Source organism: Homo sapiens, chromosome 10, assembly GCF_000001405.40.
Source record: "Homo sapiens chromosome 10, GRCh38.p14 Primary Assembly".
NCBI lineage: Eukaryota > Metazoa > Chordata > Mammalia > Primates > Hominidae > Homo > Homo sapiens.
In genome coordinates this window covers 132,860,752-132,882,886 of record NC_000010.11, presented here as the reverse complement: position 1 = coordinate 132,882,886, position 22,135 = coordinate 132,860,752, and the positions used below count along the sequence as shown (strand labels likewise).

Genomic DNA, 22,135 nt, shown 5'->3' with positions numbered 1-22,135 from the left:
CCCATCAGGGCCAAGGCCCTCCCCCGCGTACACAGCTTTTGTGGGAGCCACCATCGGCCTCCACAGCTGCTCCCCTCCTTCCCCATCCATGGGCATCCTTCACGTGGCTCCCAAGCCCCACCACCTCACTGGTTCCTCGTCCTCCTCCCCTTCCCACCTCTTCATGACAGAGGAGGCCCCGGGCTAAGGGCAGGACCTTGGCCATCTGATCTCACTGCACGTCCTGAGCTAAGCACCGCTGCCGCCCATTTTACCCACAAGCAATTCTCTAGCCCAGACCCCCCACCCGCTAGACCTGTGAATCCTGCTGCCTGCCTGGCCCCGCCCTGGGGCCAGCATCTTACCCAAAACCAAACGCTTGCTTTTCCCACCATCCTTCTTCTTGCCTTCCCCCTCGAGATGTTGCAGCTCCATCCTCCGGTGGCTGGACTTACACCCGACATCCACAACAAACCCACACCTTGCACCTAGACCCATGGACACACCCAACTTAACAGCCCACAGCTGTGACCAAGACACACCCCACGTATCCCACCCCCACACAGCCTATACTACACCCCACAGGCCACACCTTCACACCTGTAACCCACATCTCATACACACCATTCACACCCAATACCCCCACACACAACTCACACACTCCACATCCCACTCACACCCCACATCCCACACACACCACTCATACCCCACATCCCACTCACACCCCACATCCCACACACACCACTCACACCCCACATCCCACACACACCACTCACACCCCACATCCCATACAGACCACACACACCCCACATCCCACACGCACCACTCACACCCCACATCCCACACGCACCACACACCCCCCACATCCCACACACACCACACACCCCTTACATCCCACACACACCACACATACCCCACATCCCACACAGACCACACACACCCCACATCCCACATGCACCACTCACACCCCATGGGGACCTGCTTGTGACAGCTGATGCAGTGTGAGTGCCGAGCACAGAGGGAACCCCCAGCAGATTCGTGGGCTGAATAAGTGGCATGGGCCAGCGCTCAGAGAGCCACAGATATTTGACAGCAGAAATGAAGTGGCGGCGACATCTGTGCATGGCACGTGGTGTGGTGCCAGTGCGAGGTCCACCCTGCTGGAGAAGAGTGTGGCCGTGGCCCCAGCAGCACCTGTGGAGGGGAGGGTGTGGTGCAGGCTAACCCCGGCTCGCAGGGCTGCGGAGGGTGCGGTGCAGGCTAACCCCGGCTCGCAGGGCTGCGGAGGGTGCGGTGCAGGCTAACCCTGGCTCTCAGGGCTGAGGCTCTGCTCTGCAAGGGTCAGGTTAGGGCAGCCTCATACAATTCTGTAGCGATGATGGCCAAGTTTGCACAGGCCAGGCCTTGGACTGGGCTCTGCATCTGGACGCAGGACAGGGCAAACACCTTTCCTACCCTGCAGAGGCCTCCTTTCCAGCAGGGACATGGGGCTGCCCACAGAGCCACCCAGAGAGGGCCACCTGCAGACAGAGCGACAGCAGGACCCCTGTCCTGTGTCCTCTTGCGGTGCAGGGAATGTCTGGGGACCCGGGAGTCCCCAGGAGGGTGGCATCTGCAAAGGGTGAGGAGACGGGGAAGGAATTCGCCAAGCTGCAGCCTTCCCACCTCTGCTTGTGAAAAGAAACAACTGCACCTGAAATGTCCCAATGAGCCTAAATGGCAACTTGGTCTCATTAGAGGCGGCCTGCAAATGATCACTGTGGGGGTAAGAATGAAGCTTTTCTTGTAGAAAATGAGCAATAAAAGTATTCCACTGCGTCAGGAACGCCTTCAGGGCCATCCTGAGGATGTCACCCTTCCTGTTCAATCCCACAGAAGCCTGAGATGGAGTGGCAGAAGGTGGAGTACCTCATGGAGTTCGGCCAGTGGCTCCATCACAGACACTTTCCTCTCGAGGACGTGGTCTTCCACCTCCGCTGGGCTGTCGAGATCCTGCTGGCCATGAAGCCGCCCGGCGATGTCCCTGAGCCACAGCCCACGCCGGATGGTGAGCCCACGCCGCTGGCAGGGTGCCGACCCCACGCCGCTCCCCAGAGCTCTGCTTCCTGCTCCGTGATCTGGACCGCCGTTGGGTATCCATGTGTCTGTGCAGGCTTTGGAGGCCAGGAGCCCCTGACGTGTCTCAGCGCTGTCCTCTGCAGGGGCCCCTGACGTGTCTCAGTGCTGTCCTCTGCAGGGGCCCCTGACGTGTCTCAGTGCTGTCCTCTGCAGGGGCCCTGAGGGACTCAGCCTGACTGCCACCAGATGACCTTCACAGAAAGGTTCCATCCAGGTCAGGCGGAAGGCATGTTCTCGGGCACACAGCTGGGCCGGCCCAGAGGCAGCCTTCCTCAGGAGGCCGGGGGAGCGGGGGTCCAGAGCACCTCAGACCCTGTGGGCACCTCAGCCATCCCCAAAGTTGCTTCTGACTCGAGGTGGGGGCTCCATTCTCCAGCTACTGCTCCTCAGCAGGCCCTTGGCCACCCAGCCCCTGCTCACAGCAGTGCAGGAAAGTGGGTGTTTGCTGGCAAGTGGGGACCTGGGCAGACAATGGCGGCCCCACTGGCATCATCCAGGGCTTAAACACTGCCAGTGCCTGGGCATCAGCCCAGGGTGACCCGGGGCAGAAACTCTGTGGGGAGCGCAGGTGCGCACGGAGAGTCCCATGGGGTGGCTCGGCAGTCCTGCCGTGAAGAGCAGAGGCCGGCAGAGCCCAGCTAGGGTGGCCACTCCACACACACACACACACATACATGCACACACACACACGTGCGCACAGCAGGGCCATCCTAGAGCACTCGACAATGCTGGCTTGCTCAGGGCCACCCTCCCTGTGGCCGCGGTTCTAGCCCCCTGTCAGGATGAGTGGGGGCCCTGCTCAGAACTCCCAGGCCCTTGGGACAGTCTGGGACAGGAACGGGGTGCCCAGGCCAGGTGCAGCTCATGAGGCTTCCAGGACACACAGGGCAGCAGGAGAGCTCTCGGGGTCTGGGGGCCTGGGGCTGGAGCTGAGACTGGAACTGCCCCTGGGGGTGAGGGGGCAGCCAAGCTCAGCCTTCGCAGAGTAAGTACAACACGTGACTCTTCCCCTGGCTGCCGGCCCTCAGCAGAGTGGAGCACCGGGTGTCCGCGAGGCACCGGGCAGTCCACCACAGCCTCGGGCAGGGAAGGGAGTGGCCTGGGGCCCACAGACCCGTAGCCGGGCCTGCTCTCAGCCTCGGGCACCCCGTGTTTCAGGGGAGTACGTGGCTGTGGAGATGCCCCCACGGAGCCCCGTGTCCGAGGCCGAGGAGGCGGTGTCCTTGGAGCAGCTGCGTAGCGTGCGGCAGCTGGAGGCGCTGGCCCGCGTGCACATCCTGCTGGCCCTGGTGCTGTCGCCGGGCGCCGAGGGCTACGAGGACTGCTGCCTTGCAGCCTACGCCTTCTTCAGGCACATCTGGCAGGTGAGGCCCAGCGCAGACTCCCCTGCTCCTGCAGCACCTCCCGGGACGGGCCGCGGGCTGGGGAAACCGCAGTGAGCGTTGTAAAGATGTCAGAGTCTTTCCCAGCATTTCCTAAAGACCTTTGAGATGTGAGCAATTTCCTGCGACATCCAGATTCTTCCTCTCTCCTGAATGGTTCCCATCAGCATAAAAACAAGAGACTCCCCCAAAACAAAAGACTCCCCTCTTCATTCCTGCACCCTCCACATTCCCAGCACTCCCCAAGGGAGGGGCTCGTGGCTCCCTCCAGATCAGCCGGTCCTCCCTGACACCCGCCCTGGCACCCTTGCAGACCACCACCCAAAACTGCCTCTGCCTGGCTCGCCACACCAAGGCAGCGGCAGGCGCCTCTGTTAGCTGGGGCCCGACAGCTCCTGAACCGCCCGCTGACGGGGCTTCCAGAGCCTTCTTCCCACTCCCACCCCCCTCCTTGTCCTGCTCCTCCTACCACCTCTCCCTGTAAAGCCCACCAGGAGCAGCTGTCGGGGGCCTCCCCGTGCGTCTGTCTAGGCCTCCCGCAGGCTACACCCCAGCAGGGCAGCGCCAGGCATGGCAGGCCTTTCTTCTGAGGATGAGTTTGCCCGGAGCCCCCATAGGGCATCTCAGGATCAAGAGGGCCACCGCCCAGCCGTGGGCAGAGCAGGAAAGGCAGGGAGGCCCCCCTATCCCGTCTTCAGAATGCTCCACGCTAACCCCCCACCAGCCTCAACCACTGCCAGACCCGGGGCTGTGGGCGCCCACGCTGCCATTCTTTGTGACTCTTCTAGGAGAATTGCTCAATGTTATTCTCATGTGTTCTTAATTAGAGACCTCGAACTCATTCACCCAAGGAGTGGCAAGTCTCCCCCAGGGCCAGCCACGCCTGCCCCAGACCCCCAGGTGTCAGGGCCGCGAGGGGCCCGCAGGGCCTGCCAAGGAGGCGTGCCTAGCGTCCTCCCTGCCTGGGTACATCCCCAACAAGGGCCGCTGCAGGGAGAGTGCGGGATGGCCAGCAGGGAGCCCCAGGGCCAGGGGTGTCCCGCTGTGTCCCTGACAGTGGAGTGAGACTGAGGGACACCCGCGGAGCCAGCAGGCTCACGGGCATGTCCCTGCAGCCCCCGGTGCCCACACCCCGGGCCAGCCCAGCTCCGTGCTCTAGGGGCTCCCCTGATGGCAGCTGACGGGGACGCAAGACCACCAGAGCACTAGAGTCTGGGGAGCCCCGCGGGTCTGAGCGTCCCTCATCCAGGAGTGGAGGGTGGGCAGAGTGGGCGGTGGGTGGGTTTTCAGTGCTGCAAATGTGGATTTCATCCCCACCAGGTTTCTTTGATGACAGCAGGAAAATCAGTTCTGGAAAACAGACCCCTGGCAGCAACCAGCTCACATCTGTTATTGCCTAAAAAAGAGAAGGAGAATGAGAGGAGTAAAGAGAAGGAGAAGGAGAGGAGTAAAGAGAAGGAGAATGAGAGGAGTAAAGAGAAGGACAAGGAGAAGGGAAAGGAGGAGAAAGTCAAGGAGCCCAAGCAGGTGATGCCCAAGTGGCCACGGTGCAGAGGCCGGGCCCAGGATGGCCTGTGCCTCAGTTTCCCTGCCTGTCAGGGTTCTCGGAGGAGCCCCAGGCGGCCTCAGTGCAGAGGCCGGGCCCGGGATGGCCTGTGCCTCAGTTTCCCTGCCTGTCAGGGTTCTCGGAGGAGCCCCAGGTGGCCTCAGTGCAGAGGCTGGGCCCCGGCTGGCCTCTGTGCCTCAGTTTCTCTCCCTGTCAGGGTTCTTGGAGGACAATACAGGGGAATGTCTGTAAAGCACCCTGGCTTGTCCCTGGCAGGAATCCCGGGCCTGGAGCTAGCCACGTAATGCACGCAGTTTGCACAGAGCACGTTGTCCCAGGTCTGCCAGGCTCAGAGGCCATGGCAGCAGACACAGCCCAGGGCCTGGGTCCCAGAGCAGTGAGAAAAGTGTTTTTTTCATCTCATGAAACCTTTCTCTCTGCAAGTATCCACTTCTCAAAGTGCTGGGCAGGTCTGAGAAACCACTTGGCTGCCCAGCTCCCCAGAGCAGGACGCTCACACCTGGACCCCGGCACGAGCACTGCTGAGTTCATGGGACGCTCACACCCGGACCCCAGCACGAGCACTGCTGAGCTCACCAGCCAGCTGTCACTGAGGGGAGACGCAGGAGGCAGAGGCTGCAGAGCCTTAGCTCTCGGGAGTCCTGAGCCTGGGCACCCCCAGGCCAACTCTGGCTGTGCACGGGGCAGAAAGCTTTGCGTGCACTGCCTGGAAACAGTATCAGAGGCTGGATCTGGGCACTCGCTGGGACCTGGTGGTGGGGAGGATGCCGGCTGCCCAGGGCTGTGGCCTGAATGCTGCACAGCCATGCCGGTGGGCCGGGGGTGTCTGCTGTTTCACCTCCACCGTTTCAGGTAAATCCTGTATTCTTGCCTTTCTAGTCTCAAAGCCCAGCTCCTATCAAACAACTGGAAGACTTACCCATGAGCATAGAAGAGTGGGCTTCCTACTCCTGCCCCGAGGAAGTGCTGTCTGTACTGAAACAGGACAGAAGTGACTCTACTGTGAACCCCTCAAGTATCCAGAAGCCGGTACGTTGACATAAAGAAAAGGCTCAAGACCTTGGTCACAGCATGGTGTCCCCTTGACCTGTCCCCAAGTCCAGTTTTCACTGTGAACTGTAGCCAGAAAAAGGAGGACAGGACAGAGTCCCATCAGCCCCCAGCCTCCCACAGGCCCTCCCAGCACCACTGTCTGCCCTCAACTGCCGACACTTAGGAAAGCCTTCCTTCTTTCCCCACTCAAGTCCAACACGTACCTAGTGAGACAGGACAGGTGTTCATGACAAGCTCCCACAACCGCATGGTTAAAACAACAGAAATTGATCCCCTCATGGTTCTGGAGGCCGGAAGCCGAAAATCAGTGTCCCTGGGCTCAAATCCAGGTGTCGGGAGGGTGGCACACCCTCCAAAGGGGCCGGGGAAGATCCCTCTTTCCTCATCCCGGTCAGCCTCTGTGGTCACGTGGCCTCCTCTTTTGTGTGGATCAAATCTCCCGCTCCCTCCCACAGAATTGCATTTAGGGCACACCTGGACCATCTCCACCTGCGGTGTTTGGTGCCACGCTGCCATGCTGCCCTCCATAGTGGTCATTCAGTTCACTGCCGTGCCCGCTGTGGGTAGAGTGGCCCTGCGCAGATCCCTGCTGATGCCACTCCCCTCAATATCAGCAGCCGGTGGGTGGGCAGGGGCATTCCCCTTGGTTTAATGGGACACCCCTGGCCACAGTGAGGTTGGCCTTCAGTGCTTCCTATCCTTGGAGGTCCTCTTTTGTGATGTGCCCTCCAGGCTGTCGCCCATATTTAATTAAGCTTTCTGACTTTTCCTGATTGGTTTGAAGGAATCCTTTATTCTGGAAAATCACATGAGCAGCCATGTGACCAGCAGATCTGCCTCCACTTTGTGCCTTGCCTTTCCACTCTGTTAAGGAGGTCTTTTTGGGAACAGGGATTAGTAGTTTTAATGTAATAAGAGTCATTAGTCTTTTCCTTTGTAATTAGTCAGTTTTTTGTGTGTCCTTTTTTTTGATGTTTTCATTTCTGGAGGTTGTACAGATATTCTGTTATAGTATTTTTCCAAAAAGTGGAAATATTTTGCACCTTTGTAGTTTTGCCTGTCATCTGAACTTGATGTGTGTGTGGTGTGAGGTAGGGGTCAAGCCTCAAGCATGGCAGTCAGGGTGTCCCATTGTTCTGACACCACTTCCTGAAATGTCACTGGCTGCCTTCCCTGCTGGCTGCACTGGGCATGAGCAGTTGCCCACCTGTGCATGGGGCTGCTTTGGGGTCTCTCTTGCTTTCTGTTAGTTTTTTGTCCTTGGCATCATCATCTCATTGTCAATTACTGAGCTTCACAACCGTGAGTATTTGGTAGAGAAAATCTCCTTACCTCATTCTTCAGGACGGTTGGGCTATTCCTTTTATTCTCCATTGCATGTCCATGTGTATTTTAGAATCAGTGTGTCAGACCCATCACAAACCCTGGTAGAGTTTTTACTGACATTGCATTGAATCTGTAAATTACTTTATGGAGAACTGACATTGTTATGGTGTTCAGCCTTTTGATCCATGGACATGGTCTGTCTCTCCATTGACGTAGGTCTTCTTCAGCATCTCTTAACAATAGACCAGAGTTTTCTGCTTGGCAGTTATGCATGTCAGATTTATTTCTGTGTATTTGATATTTTTGATGCTGTTGTAAATATAGCTTTTTTGTTTCATGTTTAAACTCCAGATAAACTATAGAAATGTAATTGTTTTCATTTTGGCCTTGTAAGCATCCATTTTGTTAAGCTCTTTATAACTTTAGTAATTTGTCTGTAGATTATTTTGGATTTTGTGTGTACATCATCGTTTTATCTGCAAACACATTTTTCTTTTTTAGTTTCCACTCTTTACACTGTTTTTTCTTTACCTTGCCTTATATTCTGGCAAGGACCTCCGGTATGAGGTTGAATGAAAATGGTGATAACATCTATTTTTATGTTGCACATCCTATCTCAAAGGAAAGTTTCCAGCATTTTACTCTGAAGTATAATTGATGTTTGTTGTAGGTTTTTATCGATCTTTATTGATGAAGGAAGTTTATTTCTATTCGTTAATAATTTTAGTCATGAATGCTTTTATATCTTTCTCCATCTATGCAGATGATGTTTTCCTCCTTCATTCCTTGAATTAATTACCTTGATTCTTTCTAATGATTATCACAATAGGGCAGTTGTAGGTTTTTATCGATCTTTATTGATGAAGGAAGTTTATTTCTATTCGCTAATAATTTTAGTCATGAATGCTTTTATATTTTTCTCCATCTATGCAGATGATGTTTTCCTCCTTCATTCCTTGAATTAATTACCTTGATTCTTTCTAATGATTATCACAATAGGGCAGTTGTAGGTTTTTATCGATCTTTATTGATGAAGGAAGTTTATTTCTATTCGCTAATAATTTTAGTCATGAATGCTTTTATATTTTTCTCCATCTATGCAGATGATGTTTTCCTCCTTCATTCCTTGAATTAATTACCTTGATTCTTTCTAATGATTATCACAATAGGGCAGCTTGGCTGTGCTGTCACTCACTTTATGTCACCAGCTTTGGTTGGCGGCACTTGTTTCCGGGGTGTGTGCATCTGTGCTTGTGAGGAGGACGATGTTTGATTTTCCTTTCATGTGTGTCCTCCTCAGGATGTGGTAAAAGTTACGCTGGCCTTTTAGTCAGTTACAAGTGTTCCTTTCTGACCATTCTTAGGAGAAATTTGTATAAGATTGGTGGTTATTTCATCCTTAAATGCGTGGAAGAATTCCCTGGTAAAGCCATCTGAGCCCAGAGCTTCTGTTTGGGAAAATTTTAAATTATGGATCCAATTTATTTCATAGTTATAGAATTCTTCAGAGTTTCTGTTTCTTCTTGTAACAGTTTTCATAGGTTGTGTTTTTCTGGGATGTTTTTATTGAAAATACATTTTGGATGTATTGCCATGAAGTTGTTCTCAATGTCCTTGTATTACCTTTTAATGCCTGTGGGACCTGTAGAGCCCTGTCACCCCTCGCTCGCTCTCCCGATCAGCCTCACTGGGAGTGATCAATTCCATTGACCTCTCAAAGGACCCTGTGCTTTCCAGGCCACCCGCACGGCCCCTCTGCCTGGTTGTCATCCCTGAGGGGACGGCCTCCTCCTAGATTGCCTGGAATTCTGAGGTGCAGCCCTTCAAGAACCCAGCCTGAGAGAGAGAGTGAGAGAGTGGAGCTCTTGGTGGGCCCTGAACCCCGTTTTCTAAGCCCAGCCTGCAGCACGATGCGGAGCACCATGGGGCCCTCAGCTGCCTCAGTGCCTGATAGCCAGGCTCGTATCCCTGGATGCCTCAGTGCCTGACAGCCAGGCTCGTATCCCTGGATGCCTCAGTGCCTGACAGCCAGGCTCGTGTCGCTGGATGCCTCAGTGCCTGATAGCCAGGCTTGTGTCCCTGGATGCATACTGACTTCCAGATCTTGGCCCAGTCATTCTTTGGATATTGATTATCCTCCAGTTCTTAGAAGTACATTTTTGCGACAAGTCATCCAACTTTCCTAATTTCCCACTCAAGAGTAATGGTTTTAACAAACCAAGTCCAACATAATAAGAAGCATTAGCTCTTCTCTATATATTAAATTTGTAAGTGGTTGTGTGTGCACACAAAGAAATTCTGTCTCTAATGAGTCAGTAGTTTTTAGTGGAAAAATGAAACAAACACATAAGGGTGTGTTTCTTGTGAGGATCTTCATACTTGGGTGCTGATGTTCACAAAGATTATCACGTGACAAAATGAAACCCATGAGTGGAAGAGGGAAGGAAGATAGCACAGCCTCCATCCATCCCACAGAAACGCACTGAGCACCTGCTGTGTGCGGACACGCGCTGAGCACCTGCTGTGTGCAGACATGTGCTGGCATGGGGAGGGAGGGAGTTCTCTGAGGAAAGACCCTTATGCTTGTGGTCTACACCCGCTCCTGTGACCTCCTGTGTGTGTTATGTGTCCATGTAGACATACAGTTTGTATTTCCTGGACCACCTGGTCAAGGCCCTGCAGAAGATGTGCCTGCACGAACTCACGGTTCCCGTCCTGCAGTTGGGGGTGCTGATTTCGGACTCCGTGGTGGGAAGCAAGGGCCTGTCGGATCTCTACCACCTTCGGTGGGTACAGCTCCTTTTTCGGAGTGTGATTTCCCCAAAGCAAAACAAAAATAAACAACATGTTAAGGTATTAATTCTGTAGTTGACTGTGTAAATAATAAAGTCCCTGGGACTTGAACACCAAGTAAATAAAAATATTTGAATATGAAAATGGTATTTTTGGTTGGGACGGGAGGACTATTTGATCCCAGGAGTTTGAGACCAGCCTGGGCAACATAGCAAGACCCCATCTCTACAAAAAATTTAAAAAATATATTAGCCAGGTATGGTGACACACACCTGTTGTCGCAACTACTCAGGAGGCTGAGGCAAGAGGATCACCTGAGCCTAAGAAATGGAGGCTGCAGTGAGCTATGATCATGCCCCTGCACTCTAGCCTGGGCAACAGAGCATGATGCTGTTACTAAAAATTTAAAAGATAAAATATGATATTTTTATTTTAAAATTTCTACCTGATCCTTAGGAGAATATTCTTGTTTTAAGGAAATACAGGCATATCTTGGAGATATTGCAGGTTGTGTTCCAAAACAAAACAAATATCACATTAAAACAAGTCACATGAATTTTTTGGTTTTCCAGAGTATATAAAAGTTAGGTTTACACTATTCTGTAGTCTATTAAGTGTGTGATAGCCTTATGTCTAAAAAATGTACATACATCCATTTAAAATGTATGTACTAAAAATGCTAAAAAGGCTGGCAATTTCTTAAAATAAGACAACAATAAAATTTGCCACATGGATCAACTCTTTCACAAAAGATTTCTCTGTAGCATGCAATGATGTTTGATGGAATTTTACCCATGGCAGAAGTTCTTTCAAAATTGGAGTCAGTCTCTTAAATGCTGCTGCCACTTTATCAACTCAATGTATGGAATATTCTAGGTCCCTTTTGTCATTTCCACAGTGTTCACAGCATCTTTACCAGGAGCAGATCCCATCTCAAGAAACCACTTTCTCTGCTCATCCATAAGAGGCAATTCCGCATCCATTCAAGTTTTCTCTTGAGATTGCAGCAATTCAGTGCCATCTTCAGGCTCCACTTCTGATTCTACTTCTCTTGCTATTTCCTCCACATCTGTAGCTCCTTCTACTGAAATCTTGGATCCTTCAAAGTCATCCATGAGGTTTGGAATCAACTTCTTCCAAATTCCTGTTAATGTTGCTATTTTGGCCTCCTCCCATGAATCAGGAATGTTCTTAATGGGATCTAGAATGGTGAATCCTTTCCAGAAGGTTTTCAATTCACTTTGCCCAGATCCATCAGAAGAATCACTCTCTGCGGCAGCTATAACTTTATTAAATGTGCTTCATAAATAGTAAGACTTGAAAGTCGAAATGCCTCCTTGATCCATGGACTGCATGGGTGCAGTGTTAGCAGTGGTGTTAGCAGGCACGGAGAAGGCATTCGTCTCCTTGTATGTCTCCGTGAGCACTCTTGGGTGGCCAAAGCATTGCCAATGAGCAGTACTATTTGGAAAGGAATCTGTTTTTCTGAGCAGTAGGTCTCAACAGTGGGCTTTAAATATTCAGCAAACCATGCTGTCAACAGATGTGCTGTCACCAGGCTTTGTTGTACACTTACGGAGCACAGGCAGAGTAGATTGAGCATCATTCTTAAAGGCCCTGGGATTTTCAGAATGGTGAATGAGGATTGGCTTCAACTCAAAGTCCCCGGCTGCGTTAGCCCCTAGCAAGAGAGTCAGCCTGTGCTTGGAAGCTTGGAAGCCAGGCATTGACTTTTCTTCTCTAGCTCTGAAAGTCCTAGAAGGCATCTTCTTCCAATAGAAGGCTGTGCGGTCTACAGTGGAAATCTGTTGTTTAGCGTAGCCACCATCCATGCTCTTATTAGCTGGATCTTCCGGCTAACTGGCTTCAGCTTCTCCATCAGCACTTGCTGCTTCACCTGGCATTTTTATGTGACAGAGACAGCTTCTGTCCAGAAACCTCACGAGCCCACCTCTGCCGCTTCAAACTTCTTCTGCAGCTTCCTCACGTCTCCCAGCGTTCATGGGATTGAAGAGAGTGAGGGCCTGGCTCTGGATGAGACTTCGGCCTGAAGGAATATTGTGACTGGTTTGATCTTCGGCGCAGACCACGGAAACTTTTTCATACCGGCACTGAGGCGGCTCCACCTTCTCGTCATTTGTATTCATATGTTCCCTGTAGGAGCTTCTCATTTCCTTTCAGAACTTTCCCTTCACACTTACAGCTTGGTTAACTGGTGCAGGGGCCGAGCTTGCAGTCTGTCTCCACTTCTGACGCGCTTTCCTCACTGAACTGAATCATTTTTGGCTTTTCTTTAACGTGAGAGACGTGCGCCTGTTCCTTTCTCTGGAACACTTAAGAGCCCATCGTAGGGTTATTAACTGGCCTAATTTCAAAATTTCTGTGTCTTGGGGAATAGGGAGGCCCAAGGGGAGGGAGAGAAATGCGGGAGCGGCCAAGCTGCAGAGCAATCAGAGCCCACGGGACATTTATCGACTCAGTTCACCGTCTCATATGGGCGTGGCTGATGGTGCCCCAAAACAATTACAATGGTAACCGCAAAGATCACTGAACACAGATCACCATAACACAATCATAATAATGACAAAGTTTGAAATATTTTGAGAATTACCAAAATGTGACACAGAGACACCGAGTGAGCAGGTGCTGTGGGAAAATGGCGCCGATGGACTTGGTCGCTCAGGGCTGCCCCAGACTTTCAATTTGTAAAATATGCAACATCTGAGCAGCGCAATACAGCACAGTTTGATAAATGGAGGCGCCTGTGCCCTGAAGGATCCGGGAGAAAGGCTGCAAGTTGCATCCTCAGCTTGCTCAGATATCCCAGGGGCGGGCACGGGAGAGGAGGCTGGAGCAGGCGTGGTCACGGGGCTAAGAGGGACCACCGGGGCCCGCACAGGGATGCTTCCTGGTGTCTGTGCAACTTTCCTGCTTGCCTGAAAGCATTTTACAAGAATAGGGTTTTCAACAGGAGTCGAGGCTTCTCTGCTTATTGTGGTGGGTGCTGAGCCCACCTGAGGGCCTCCTCTTCTCCTCGGACGGCGTCCAGGAGGCAACAGATAATGCCTCGCACGAGATCTGTGAAGGAGCGGGAGAAGAATCCCACTTGAAATTTGATGGAGCTACCGGGCACTTTTCCCTAGTAATTTCGCTTACCTTTAAAAATGATTGAAAATACCATCCAAGTGTGCCTCGATGTGTTAGTTGACCGTTTTCTGTGAAGCACACTAGTAGCTTCGTTTCTGGCTCCCTCTGCGCCCGTGCAACACTGACTCTTTCGGCCACACTCCCCACAGCCTCGCCCACGCGTGCTCCGAGCTGAAGCTGAGAGAAGCAGCCGCGCGCCATGAAGAGGCGGTCGGGCAGGTGTGCGTCAGCGAGCTGGAGCAGGCCAGGTGTGTGCCGTCCCACCCTGCGCCGCCTGGGGTTTGAGTCTCGCCCTTGGTGCGGCCAGGTGAAAGCCAGCTGCGCGGCCACCCTCTTCCCTGGACTCCTGCCCCTCTGGGGAGAGTGAGCACTTGGGGGACACGGCTGTGGCCGGTTCTCCTGGGTCGTGCTGGAGGTGGGTTGTGGGGAGGTGCTCCTCACAGAGGGAGGGAGGGGCGGTGAGGGGGGCTCTCCAGGGTGGCCCGAGCCCCTCCCCGGAGGACAGAAAGGCTGGCTGCCGGGCCCTGGACCCTTGGGCGCTGGGTGCTGGGCGCCGGGTCCTGAGGCAGTGCTCGGTCAGGCCACTCCCGTCTCCGGCAGCCTTCAGGCAGGAGTTCACTTCAGAGCTGTTGAAGTTTACTAACATCAGGCTGTGTAACAACTAACTCTCGTTAGTGTAGCAAATCACTTTTAGATTTAGAGACCATCTCAGAAATACTTCTGTGCTATGATTGTATACGGTTCTGTTTTTATTAGTTTTTACAAGATACTTTTTAAAATTACGTAAGTGATACATTTTATAGTGAAAATCTTAGAACATGTAGATAAAAGAAAGAGGAAAATAAAGCTCACGATTGGCCCCATCATTCAGCATAACCCTGTTCATATTTTCACTCATGCTCTTCCGGCCATTTCGCCGTTACATTGAAACAGACACTGTTATGGTGAAAGTGGAATTAAGCTCTCTATACCCTTTCACTTAGCGGCCTGTGGTAACCAGCCTTCACCTGCAATGTGAACTTTGCATTTTTCAGTACCGTGAGTTATCTGTGCACCGTGAGTTATCTGTGCAGCCCGGCTGAACATTGGAACCGTGTCCACACTCTCCTGGTATAAGGGACGTGGAGCAGTGTCCCAGGAACCTGGTCTTTGGCCCGGTTGTCCTCACAGCCCTAAAATAACTTTGGAGCAAAGGAGTTGTGGAGGCCATAGGGTCCTGGTTCCCTGCTGTTCATTTGTTTACGAGCTGTGGAGGGTGGCAGATGGCAGAGGCCAACGCGATGTGGGGTGGCCAGCGCGATGTGGTGTGCTGGGAGCAGCGACGTCTCGGCGGCAAGGGGCACCTCGACTTGGAACGCGCGTGGCCGGGGAGGCCTGGGCAGAGGGGCGTGCAGGCCTCGGGAGAGGGTCAGAGGTCAGAGGACGAAAACGCCCTGGGGCTGGGCCTGCTGGGTCTTGACCTCTGCTGTGACCCCCTGCTGGCCTGCCTTCTAAAGGACCTCTCTGGACGTGCTGTGGCAAATGGCCAGGACCTGGTGTTCATGGCACAGGAGAAGGCGGGACAGCCGGGGGCCGTGGCCGGGGCCAGGTGGAGCAGCGAAGGGGAAGGTAGCAGACACCTTGAAGACCCCGTGGGAAGGCCGAGCGGGGAGCAGGAGCCCACCCAGGGACCTGTAGTTGGTTCCGAACTTTCCGGTGGGGGTGCCCGCGGGAGGCACAGCGGGGCCGGGGCTGGGCACGCCGGAGAGATGGAGTCGGAGATGCTCATTAAACACCCCTGGCTGTCAAACAGCAGCTGGACATGACCTTGGAGTTTGGAAGAGAGAACCAGTGATGGACACAAATTTGGGAGTCGGATGTGCCGTTAGATCCTGAGGATTTTTAAAAATCTTTGTAAACACGCGCGTGAAGAATGTAATTGTGGCTGTTTTCGTTTGCGTTTCTTTGGTTACTCGTGAAGGGACATTTTCGTGGCCATGTGGCTCTTGCGTATTGTCTGTTTTCCTCGCATTAGCTGCAGAAAAGAGATCGCGTTGAAAAAAGAGAAAAATAAGGAGCCTTTATTAGAAGAAAGCCTGCCAGCACTGAATGAGCAGACACTTCCTGTCCAGCCTGGGGAGATCAAACCACTGGACGCCAAGGACAAGGTAACCTCACCGTCCAGAATCCCTCTGACCCGCAGCCCAGCGGGCGCCGGTGCCTCGTGGCCATGCAGGGCTGCAGCTGAGCCAGGCGGCCGGCCTGTGTGTGTGTCAGTGTGTGAGGGGCCGGCCTGGGTGTGTGTCAGTGTGTGAGGGGCCGGCCTGTGTGTGTGTCAGTGTGTGAGGGGCCGGCCTGTGTGTGTGTCAGTGTGTGAGGGGCCGGCCTGTGTGTGTGTCAGTGTGCGAGGGGCCGGCCTGTGTGTCTGTTTGTGTGGGGCTGGCCTGTGTGTCAGTGTGCGAGGGGCTTCCTGTGACTGATTTCTCCTCCCGTGGGCCCTGGAATTCCCCGGGAAAGATGAGCTTTATGTGCACCACGGGCCTCCCTGGAACAGGCCTGCTGGGCGCCTGGGCAGAGGCTGAGAGAAGGTGGGGGCAGCGAAGAGGGAGCTCCGCCTGGAGGTCCCGGTCATCTGACAGAACTGGTTCTCCCACCACCTGGGTTTCCCTCAGCAGGAGAGCACAGCACCCCTCTGCATTTGCCCATAAAGGAAGGTGACCAGCCTGGCTCCTAACCCAAAACGCAGTTACCGTGGGAGCACCATGGAGGGGCAAAGGCCATGCTTCCTGTGACCTGGCAGTCAGGACAGGACAGGGGCTCAGCACAGGACCTGGATCCAGAACACAGCAGTGCGGGGCTCAGCCACCGCCCCAGGCCGGGGGCTCTGCTTAGCGAGGAGAGGCTGGGGGGATGCGGGGTAGGCCCAGATCCTAGTGCAGGGGCTCAGCCACCGGCCCACACCCGGGGCGCCCTAGCAAGGCCGGGTGCACAGCCGCAGGCAGGCCCAGATCCCAGGGTTGTTCGGCACCACGAGGTGGGGCAAGGGGTCCTACACCCCAATGTGTGTGTGTGGAGTAGCAAAGGCTCTACGTGGCTAGTGGTGGGCTTAGTTGGCTTCAAGGGGATTCGTGAGAAAAGAGAGGTGCCCAGGGTGCAGGAGGTCTGTCGGGGGAAAGGCAAAGGCCTGAGCTCTGGCCTTGGGGCACACGGGGAGCTTGCGAGGCGCCCATGGTGCCTAGGCCAGCAGGGAGCCCTTGGTGTGGTGTGGCTCCCTGTGTGGTACAGATGGCTCCTGAGCCAGAGCCTGTCCCGTGAGACTCAGAGGTCACAAGTGTCAGGATCGTGCCGCCTGGGGCTGCGGTATCTTACAGATTTTGAAGATGAATGGGGAGACCGGGAGGGACCTGGATGGGACGTCCTTTCCCCACCTGTGGATGCTGAAGGCAGAAGTTCTGCTGGAGATGAACCTGTACCAGCCTGCACGGCTGCTCCTGTCGGAGGCTTACCTGGCTTTCCAGGTGAGGAGCCCCTCCCAGCCCATCACCATCCACAGCCGCTCCCAGCGCACTGTGCACAGTGGAGGGACTGCGGGCAGAAGCTTGGGCTGTAGCGTTCAGCTCTAGCAGGGCCACGTGCCTCTCTTGTCTGGGTCCAGCTCTCTGCGGGAAGTCAGTCCTGTGCGTCCTCTGTCTGTCCGTCTTTTGCTCTGCCACTCACAGTTTGCTGAAGTTTCTATTTCCAGTACCTGCTGTTGGTCTCTGCAACCTCTCGTTTCTCTTGGGTGTCAGTGGCTCCGCTCTGCCTCCTGCCATAGTCAGTTTCTTACCTTCTGAGGCTGGACGAGAACTTGGAGAACCCCAGAGGGTGTCTCTGCCAGGAGCGCCACTTTGTTCTAGAAGGCGGATTGTGTGCGGGGCTGCCTGGGTCCAGGAATCTGGGCCTGGTCTGGTCTTTGTTTGTTTTGCTCTCACTCCCTGGATGGGACCCTTACGGTCCCCAGCGAAAGCCCCGGGACGTTTGCTGAGGCCCCGTCTCCCCGGCGGGCGCTGCACCTGTTTGGTCTTAGCTGGTTCCTGCCAGGCTTTGTGACATCCTGCTCTGCCCTGAGCAGCCAAGCCCAGCTGACAGCCCTTGGACCCTTCACCTCGGCCCCTCCTCCTGGGACTGGCCCTGCAAGCCTCAGCACCGGAAGCCCCAGCTGCAGCCTCCTCTCCTCACCCTGGGCGCCTGCACTCCCCCAGCAGGGATGGCAGCCCCAGGAAAAAGCCAGATGGATGGAGGCCCACGGGTGCTTTTCTCTGTGCAGAGTGTAGTTGCCAGTTTTTGCCAGCACTGACTGCCCTCCAAACTCACCTCAGACACGTGGTGACATCTTCTCTCCAGATTTTAGAGTTGCTTTCACTGGGAGGGTGAGGCAGAGCTGCAGAACCAGACAGCCTGTCGATGTTTTGAAGAAAAACTCCAGAAAAAGAGAGGGTCCTAGAATGGTATAAAAGTTCAGTGATGCCCATCAAAGCCTTGAGAGGTTCAGACTTTATCTCTGGCACTGAGGGCAGGTGTGTGCAGGACTCTGGCACTGAGGACAGGTATGTGCAGGTCTCAGGCACTGAGGGCAGGTGTGTGCAGGTCTCAGGCACTGAGGGCAGGTGTGTGCAGGTCTCAGGCAGGGGGACAGGTGTGTGCAGGTCTCAGGCACTGGGAACAGGTGTGTGCAGGTCTCAGGCACTGGGGACAGGTGTGTGCAGGTCTCAAGCAGGGGGACAGGTGTGTTCAGGTCTCAGGCAGGGGGAGAGGAGTGTGCAGGTCTCAGGCACTGAGGGCAGGTGTGTGCAGGTCTCAGGCAGGGGGACAGGTGTGTGCAGGTCTCGGGCACTGGGGACAGGTGTGTGCAGGTCTCAGGCAGGGGGACAGGTGTGTGCAAGTCTCGGGCACTGAGGGCAGGTGTGTGCAGGTCTCAGGCAGGGGGACAGATGTTTGCAGGTCTCAGGCACTGAGGGCAGGTGTGTGCAGGTCTCAGGCAGGGGGGCAGGTGTGTGTAGGTCTCAGGCATGGGGACAGATGTGTGCAGGTCTCAGGCAGGGGGACAGGTGTGTGCAGGTCTCAGGCACTGGGGACAGGTGTGTGCATGTCTCAGGCACTGGGGACAGGTGTGTGCAGGTCTCAGGCACTGGGGACAGGTGTGTGCAGGTCTCAGGCACTGGGGACAGGTGTGTGCAGGTCTCAGGCAGGGGAACAGGTGTGTACAGGTCTCAGGCAGGGGGACAGGTGTGTGCAGGTCTCAGACACTGGGGACGGGTGTGTGCAGGTGTCAGGGGGACAGGTGTGTGCAGGTCTCAGGCGGGGGACATGTGTGTGCAGGTCTCAGGCACTGGGGACAGGTGTGTGCAGGTCTCAGGCAGGGGGACAGGTGTGTGGAGGTCTCATACAAAGGGAGAGGTGTTTGCAGGTCTCAGACACCGGGGACAGGTGTGTGCAGGTCTCAGGCAGGGGGACAGGTGTGTGCAGGTCTCTAATAGCAGGAACAGGTGTGTTCAGGTCTCAGGCACTGGGGACAGGTGTATGAAGGTCTCAGGCAGAGGGACAGGTGTGTGCAGGTCTCTGATCGCAGGGAGAGGTGTGTGCATGTCTCAGGCACTGGGGACAGGTGTGTGCAGGTCTCAGGGGGACAGGTGTGTGCAGGTCTCTGATAGCAGGGACAGGTGTGTGCTGGTCTCAGGCAGGGGGACAGGTGCGTGCAGGTCTCAGGCAGGGGGACAGGTGTGTGCAGGTCTCAGGCACTGAGAACAGGTGTGTGCAGGGCTCAGGAAGGGGGACAGGTGAGTGCAGGTCTCAGGCAGGGGGACAGATGTGTGCATGCAGGTCTCAGGCACTGAGAACAGGTGTGTGCACGTCTCAGGAAGAGGGACAAGTGTATGCACGTCTCTGATAGCAGGGACAGGTTTGTGCATGTCTCAGGCAGTGAGGAGAGGTGTATGCAGGTCTTTGATAGCAGGGACAGGTGTGTGCAGGTCTCAGGCATTGGGGACAGGTGTGTGCAGGTCTCTGATAGCAGAGACGGGTGTGTGCACACCAGGGTCAAAAGGGAGCTTGTCCAAGGAAGGGACTGAGGATGCTGTGGACAGCTATGGAGGGGACATACATGGGTGCAGCATTCTTTTAGCCGCAGACACAGAAGAGGGCCAGCCTCTGCTGGGGCCGCAGGGCTGGAGGTGTGGAAGAGCTCCTGGGAGCTCCCGGGGCAAGAGTCAAGCCTCCGAGGTGGGCAGAGGCCCAGTCTCCCTCACCCCGGGGTCGGGAGGCAGTGGGAGGTGGTGAGAGCCCTGGGACTTAGGGAGTGAGTCTGCTGCATGCCGGGGCCTCCGTGGTCCTGAGCTCTGGGACTTGGGGAGTGAACCTGCCTCATACCCGGGGCCACCGTGGACCTTGGAGCCCAGACCCAGGACAGACGTGATGGGTGCTGGACTCCCGCGAACGTGGGTTCGCCACCCTCCTTCCTGCAGCCGCTGTTTTGCAGGGACTTTGTTTCACAGCAGGCGCTTCTGACAGGAAGTTGTTTGTTTCCTTGATCTTTCCCGCCCTCTTGCCTGAAGGCCTCCTACCTCCCGTCCTCAACTTTGCCCTCAGCTCACCCTGGCTTCTCAGCCACATCCACACCACAGAAAGCCTGCCTCCATGTGCTGCCCTCCCCTCCCGCCCCTCCTCACCCTCAGCCAGTGCAGCCCGGCCGCCCCGTCCCCCTCCAGCCTCTCCTGAACCTGCTCCCCGAGGCCGGCGATGGGAGTGCGCTCTGCCCTTCCACCCTGGTCTCTCCTCCGCGGGGCTCTCTCCGTCCTGCTGGTGGCACCCCTCCCCTCTCAGGCCCACCCACACAGTGGCCTTGTCTCTCGGGGGTCTGACCTCCCCTGGGCTCTCCCACTGTAGCCTCAGCACTCAGCACTCAGACCCCCGCCGACCTCAGAGGCCTCCAGGCTGGAAACATCTGCCTTGGGGGTTGTGACTATTGTTGTACTGCCCACTCCTCAGGACAGGGCTCTGCCCCTCCCACTCAGTGTCGGCACTGGAAACCCTGGCATCAGCCTCACGCACCCCCCACCCCGCCCCACCCACCCTGTCCTCTCCCTGCCTTCTGGGCGCTCCTCACCCCCGGCCAAGCTCTGTCCCACCTCCGCACCCTCCTCCTCTCCATGTGGAAGCCCCTGCCCGCCCTGTCGCCGGCCTCCGGCCCACTGTAGCTGCCCTCAACAAGCCCCGCAGGGGCCCGGCCCCGTTGGACCCTTGCCAGCCCTTCTCTCTGGGCCCAGCCACGAAGGGCCTCCCCCTCTTCCCTCCTCAGAGGCCTGCAGCCCCCTGCCAGGCTTGGTCCAGAGGCCAGGAATGCCCTTCCACAGAGCCCAGTCGCCCACCTGCCTACCCTCAGGCCACCTGACTGCCCACGAGGCTGCTATGGGCCCAGGCCCTGCCTACGCCGTCTGGCGGTCACAGCCATGCCCAGGTGCATGCAGGCTGTGGCGTCCAGGTGGATCCTGTGTCGGGCAGGGGCACAACTGGGGCATGCCTCCCTAGTGGCTGGGGCCCCTCCCTCGTCCTGGGCATCTAAATGCATGGAACGGCCAGAGATGGAGCCCTCAGCAGCTGGGACACCTGCTCTCTGGCGGCGGGTAGCCCCAGCTCATCAGCCCACCCTCCCCTCTGTCCCCACACCTGCAGCTACACCTGGGAGGGGCCTGCCCAGGTCCAAACGAGCACACAGAGCCTCTTGTTTGGCCAGAAAGTGATACATGGGAACAGGACGCTGCCTTTCCACTGCAGAAGACACCTGGGCAGCCCTGCAGCTGGGACCGGCTTTCCCGCCACCGCTCCCGTCCTCTCCTCACCCTCTGACCAGCACCTCTCTGTTCTTAGCACAGTCTGCCCTGTATTTCTGTCCCAGATCATGTGGCTGCCCAGCTCCCTGGCTGCAGGCCCCCGGATGGGGAGGCCTGGCTCTGGGAGGCTCTGAGCCGCTCAGCATCCGTGTCCAGGTGTGGCTGTCCCGAAGCCTTTCGCCCCAAGCGGGAGCCCCTAAAAGACAGGGCCAGGACGGGGCCAGCAGGAGCCCCAGGAGGCTCCGGGGACGAAGTTTCCTGCCGCTCAGCTCAGGCAGAGGGAGACAAATCCCCCCGAAGACCAGCCAGAGTGGGGCTGTGCCTCCCTGAACGCCGATTCCACTTGTCAGCTCCTCACTGAAATATAATTAAATGGAATGAGATACAGTCATGCGCGCTGCAGCTGGTGCTGACTCCAGAGAAACCTCTGGAGGGCAGGGAGGCGGGCGTCCCACTCAAGGAACCACAGTGGGGCAGGAGCCGGGCAGCACTGCAAGTCCTGCCAGGGAGTGCGAGGGCGGCCATGGGCCCCACCCTTCCACTGCCAGAGTGAGCAGCCCTGTCTTCCCCTCACCTGGTGCGTCTGTCTGTCTCTGCCTCTCTGTCTCCCTCTTCCTTCTCTCTGCCTGCTCCTGTCTCCCTGCCTGCACACATCTGTAGAGGAACCCAAGCATGTCTGAGTTTCTCTCCTTCAGGAGCTGGATGAGCCTTGTGCAGAGGCCCAGTGCCTGCTCCTCCTCGCACAGTTGGCCAACAAGGAGAAAAACTATGGACAAGCCAAGAAAATGATCGCACAGGCCCAGCACCTGGGCGGAAGTGAGGAGTTCTGGTACAATTCCACTCTGACCCTGGCAGAGGCGCTCTTGTCCATGGAACACTCAGGAAGGGAAGCTACGGTAAGAGGCACGGGGACCTGGGGCTGCATG

At 55.7% G+C, this 22,135-nt stretch overlaps 1 protein-coding gene across 17 annotated transcripts in view, besides 4 other annotated features; it reads left to right on the top strand.

Moving 5' to 3' along the window:
- Positions 1 to 22,135, top strand: part of CFAP46 (cilia and flagella associated protein 46) — a 134,179-nt gene that overhangs the window by 59,684 nt on the left and 52,360 nt on the right. For 15 of the 17 annotated variants that reach the window (XR_007061969.1, XR_007061970.1, XR_007061971.1 and 12 more), the window contains exons 28-36: positions 1,855 to 2,026; positions 3,256 to 3,461; positions 4,800 to 5,006; positions 5,926 to 6,075; positions 10,063 to 10,211; positions 13,515 to 13,613; positions 15,380 to 15,512; positions 16,716 to 16,862; positions 21,905 to 22,105. Coding sequence is in view for 14 of the 17 variants with exons in the window: in NM_001200049.3 (NP_001186978.2) it covers positions 1,855 to 2,026; positions 3,256 to 3,461; positions 4,800 to 5,006; positions 5,926 to 6,075; positions 10,063 to 10,211; positions 13,515 to 13,613; positions 15,380 to 15,512; positions 16,716 to 16,862; positions 21,905 to 22,105 (1,464 nt within the window). In the remaining 3 variants the exon portion in view is untranslated. Of the gene's footprint in view, positions 1 to 1,854; positions 2,027 to 3,255; positions 3,462 to 4,799; positions 5,007 to 5,925; positions 6,076 to 10,062; positions 10,212 to 11,116; positions 11,331 to 13,514; positions 13,614 to 15,379; positions 15,513 to 16,715; positions 16,863 to 21,051; positions 21,835 to 21,904; positions 22,106 to 22,135 lie in introns of those variants that run through there. The other 2 variants (XM_047425397.1, XM_047425398.1) reach the window with 2 other exon arrangements.
- Positions 19,176 to 19,707: an enhancer, noted in NCBI's record as "H3K4me1 hESC enhancer chr10:134676684-134677215 (GRCh37/hg19 assembly coordinates)". NCBI's record gives its function as "activates a minimal SCP1, AML or CMV promoter by ChIP-STARR-seq in naive H9 embryonic stem cells {active_cell/tissue: H9 hESC(naive)}" and the evidence as "EXISTENCE:reporter gene assay evidence [ECO:0000049][PMID:30033119]".
- Positions 19,708 to 20,240: an enhancer, noted in NCBI's record as "H3K27ac-H3K4me1 hESC enhancer chr10:134676151-134676683 (GRCh37/hg19 assembly coordinates)". NCBI's record gives its function as "activates a minimal SCP1, AML or CMV promoter by ChIP-STARR-seq in naive H9 embryonic stem cells {active_cell/tissue: H9 hESC(naive)}" and the evidence as "EXISTENCE:reporter gene assay evidence [ECO:0000049][PMID:30033119]".
- Positions 20,241 to 20,772: an enhancer, noted in NCBI's record as "H3K27ac-H3K4me1 hESC enhancer chr10:134675619-134676150 (GRCh37/hg19 assembly coordinates)". NCBI's record gives its function as "activates a minimal SCP1, AML or CMV promoter by ChIP-STARR-seq in primed H9 embryonic stem cells {active_cell/tissue: H9 hESC(primed)}" and the evidence as "EXISTENCE:reporter gene assay evidence [ECO:0000049][PMID:30033119]".
- Positions 20,773 to 21,305: an enhancer, noted in NCBI's record as "H3K27ac-H3K4me1 hESC enhancer chr10:134675086-134675618 (GRCh37/hg19 assembly coordinates)". NCBI's record gives its function as "activates a minimal SCP1, AML or CMV promoter by ChIP-STARR-seq in primed H9 embryonic stem cells {active_cell/tissue: H9 hESC(primed)}" and the evidence as "EXISTENCE:reporter gene assay evidence [ECO:0000049][PMID:30033119]".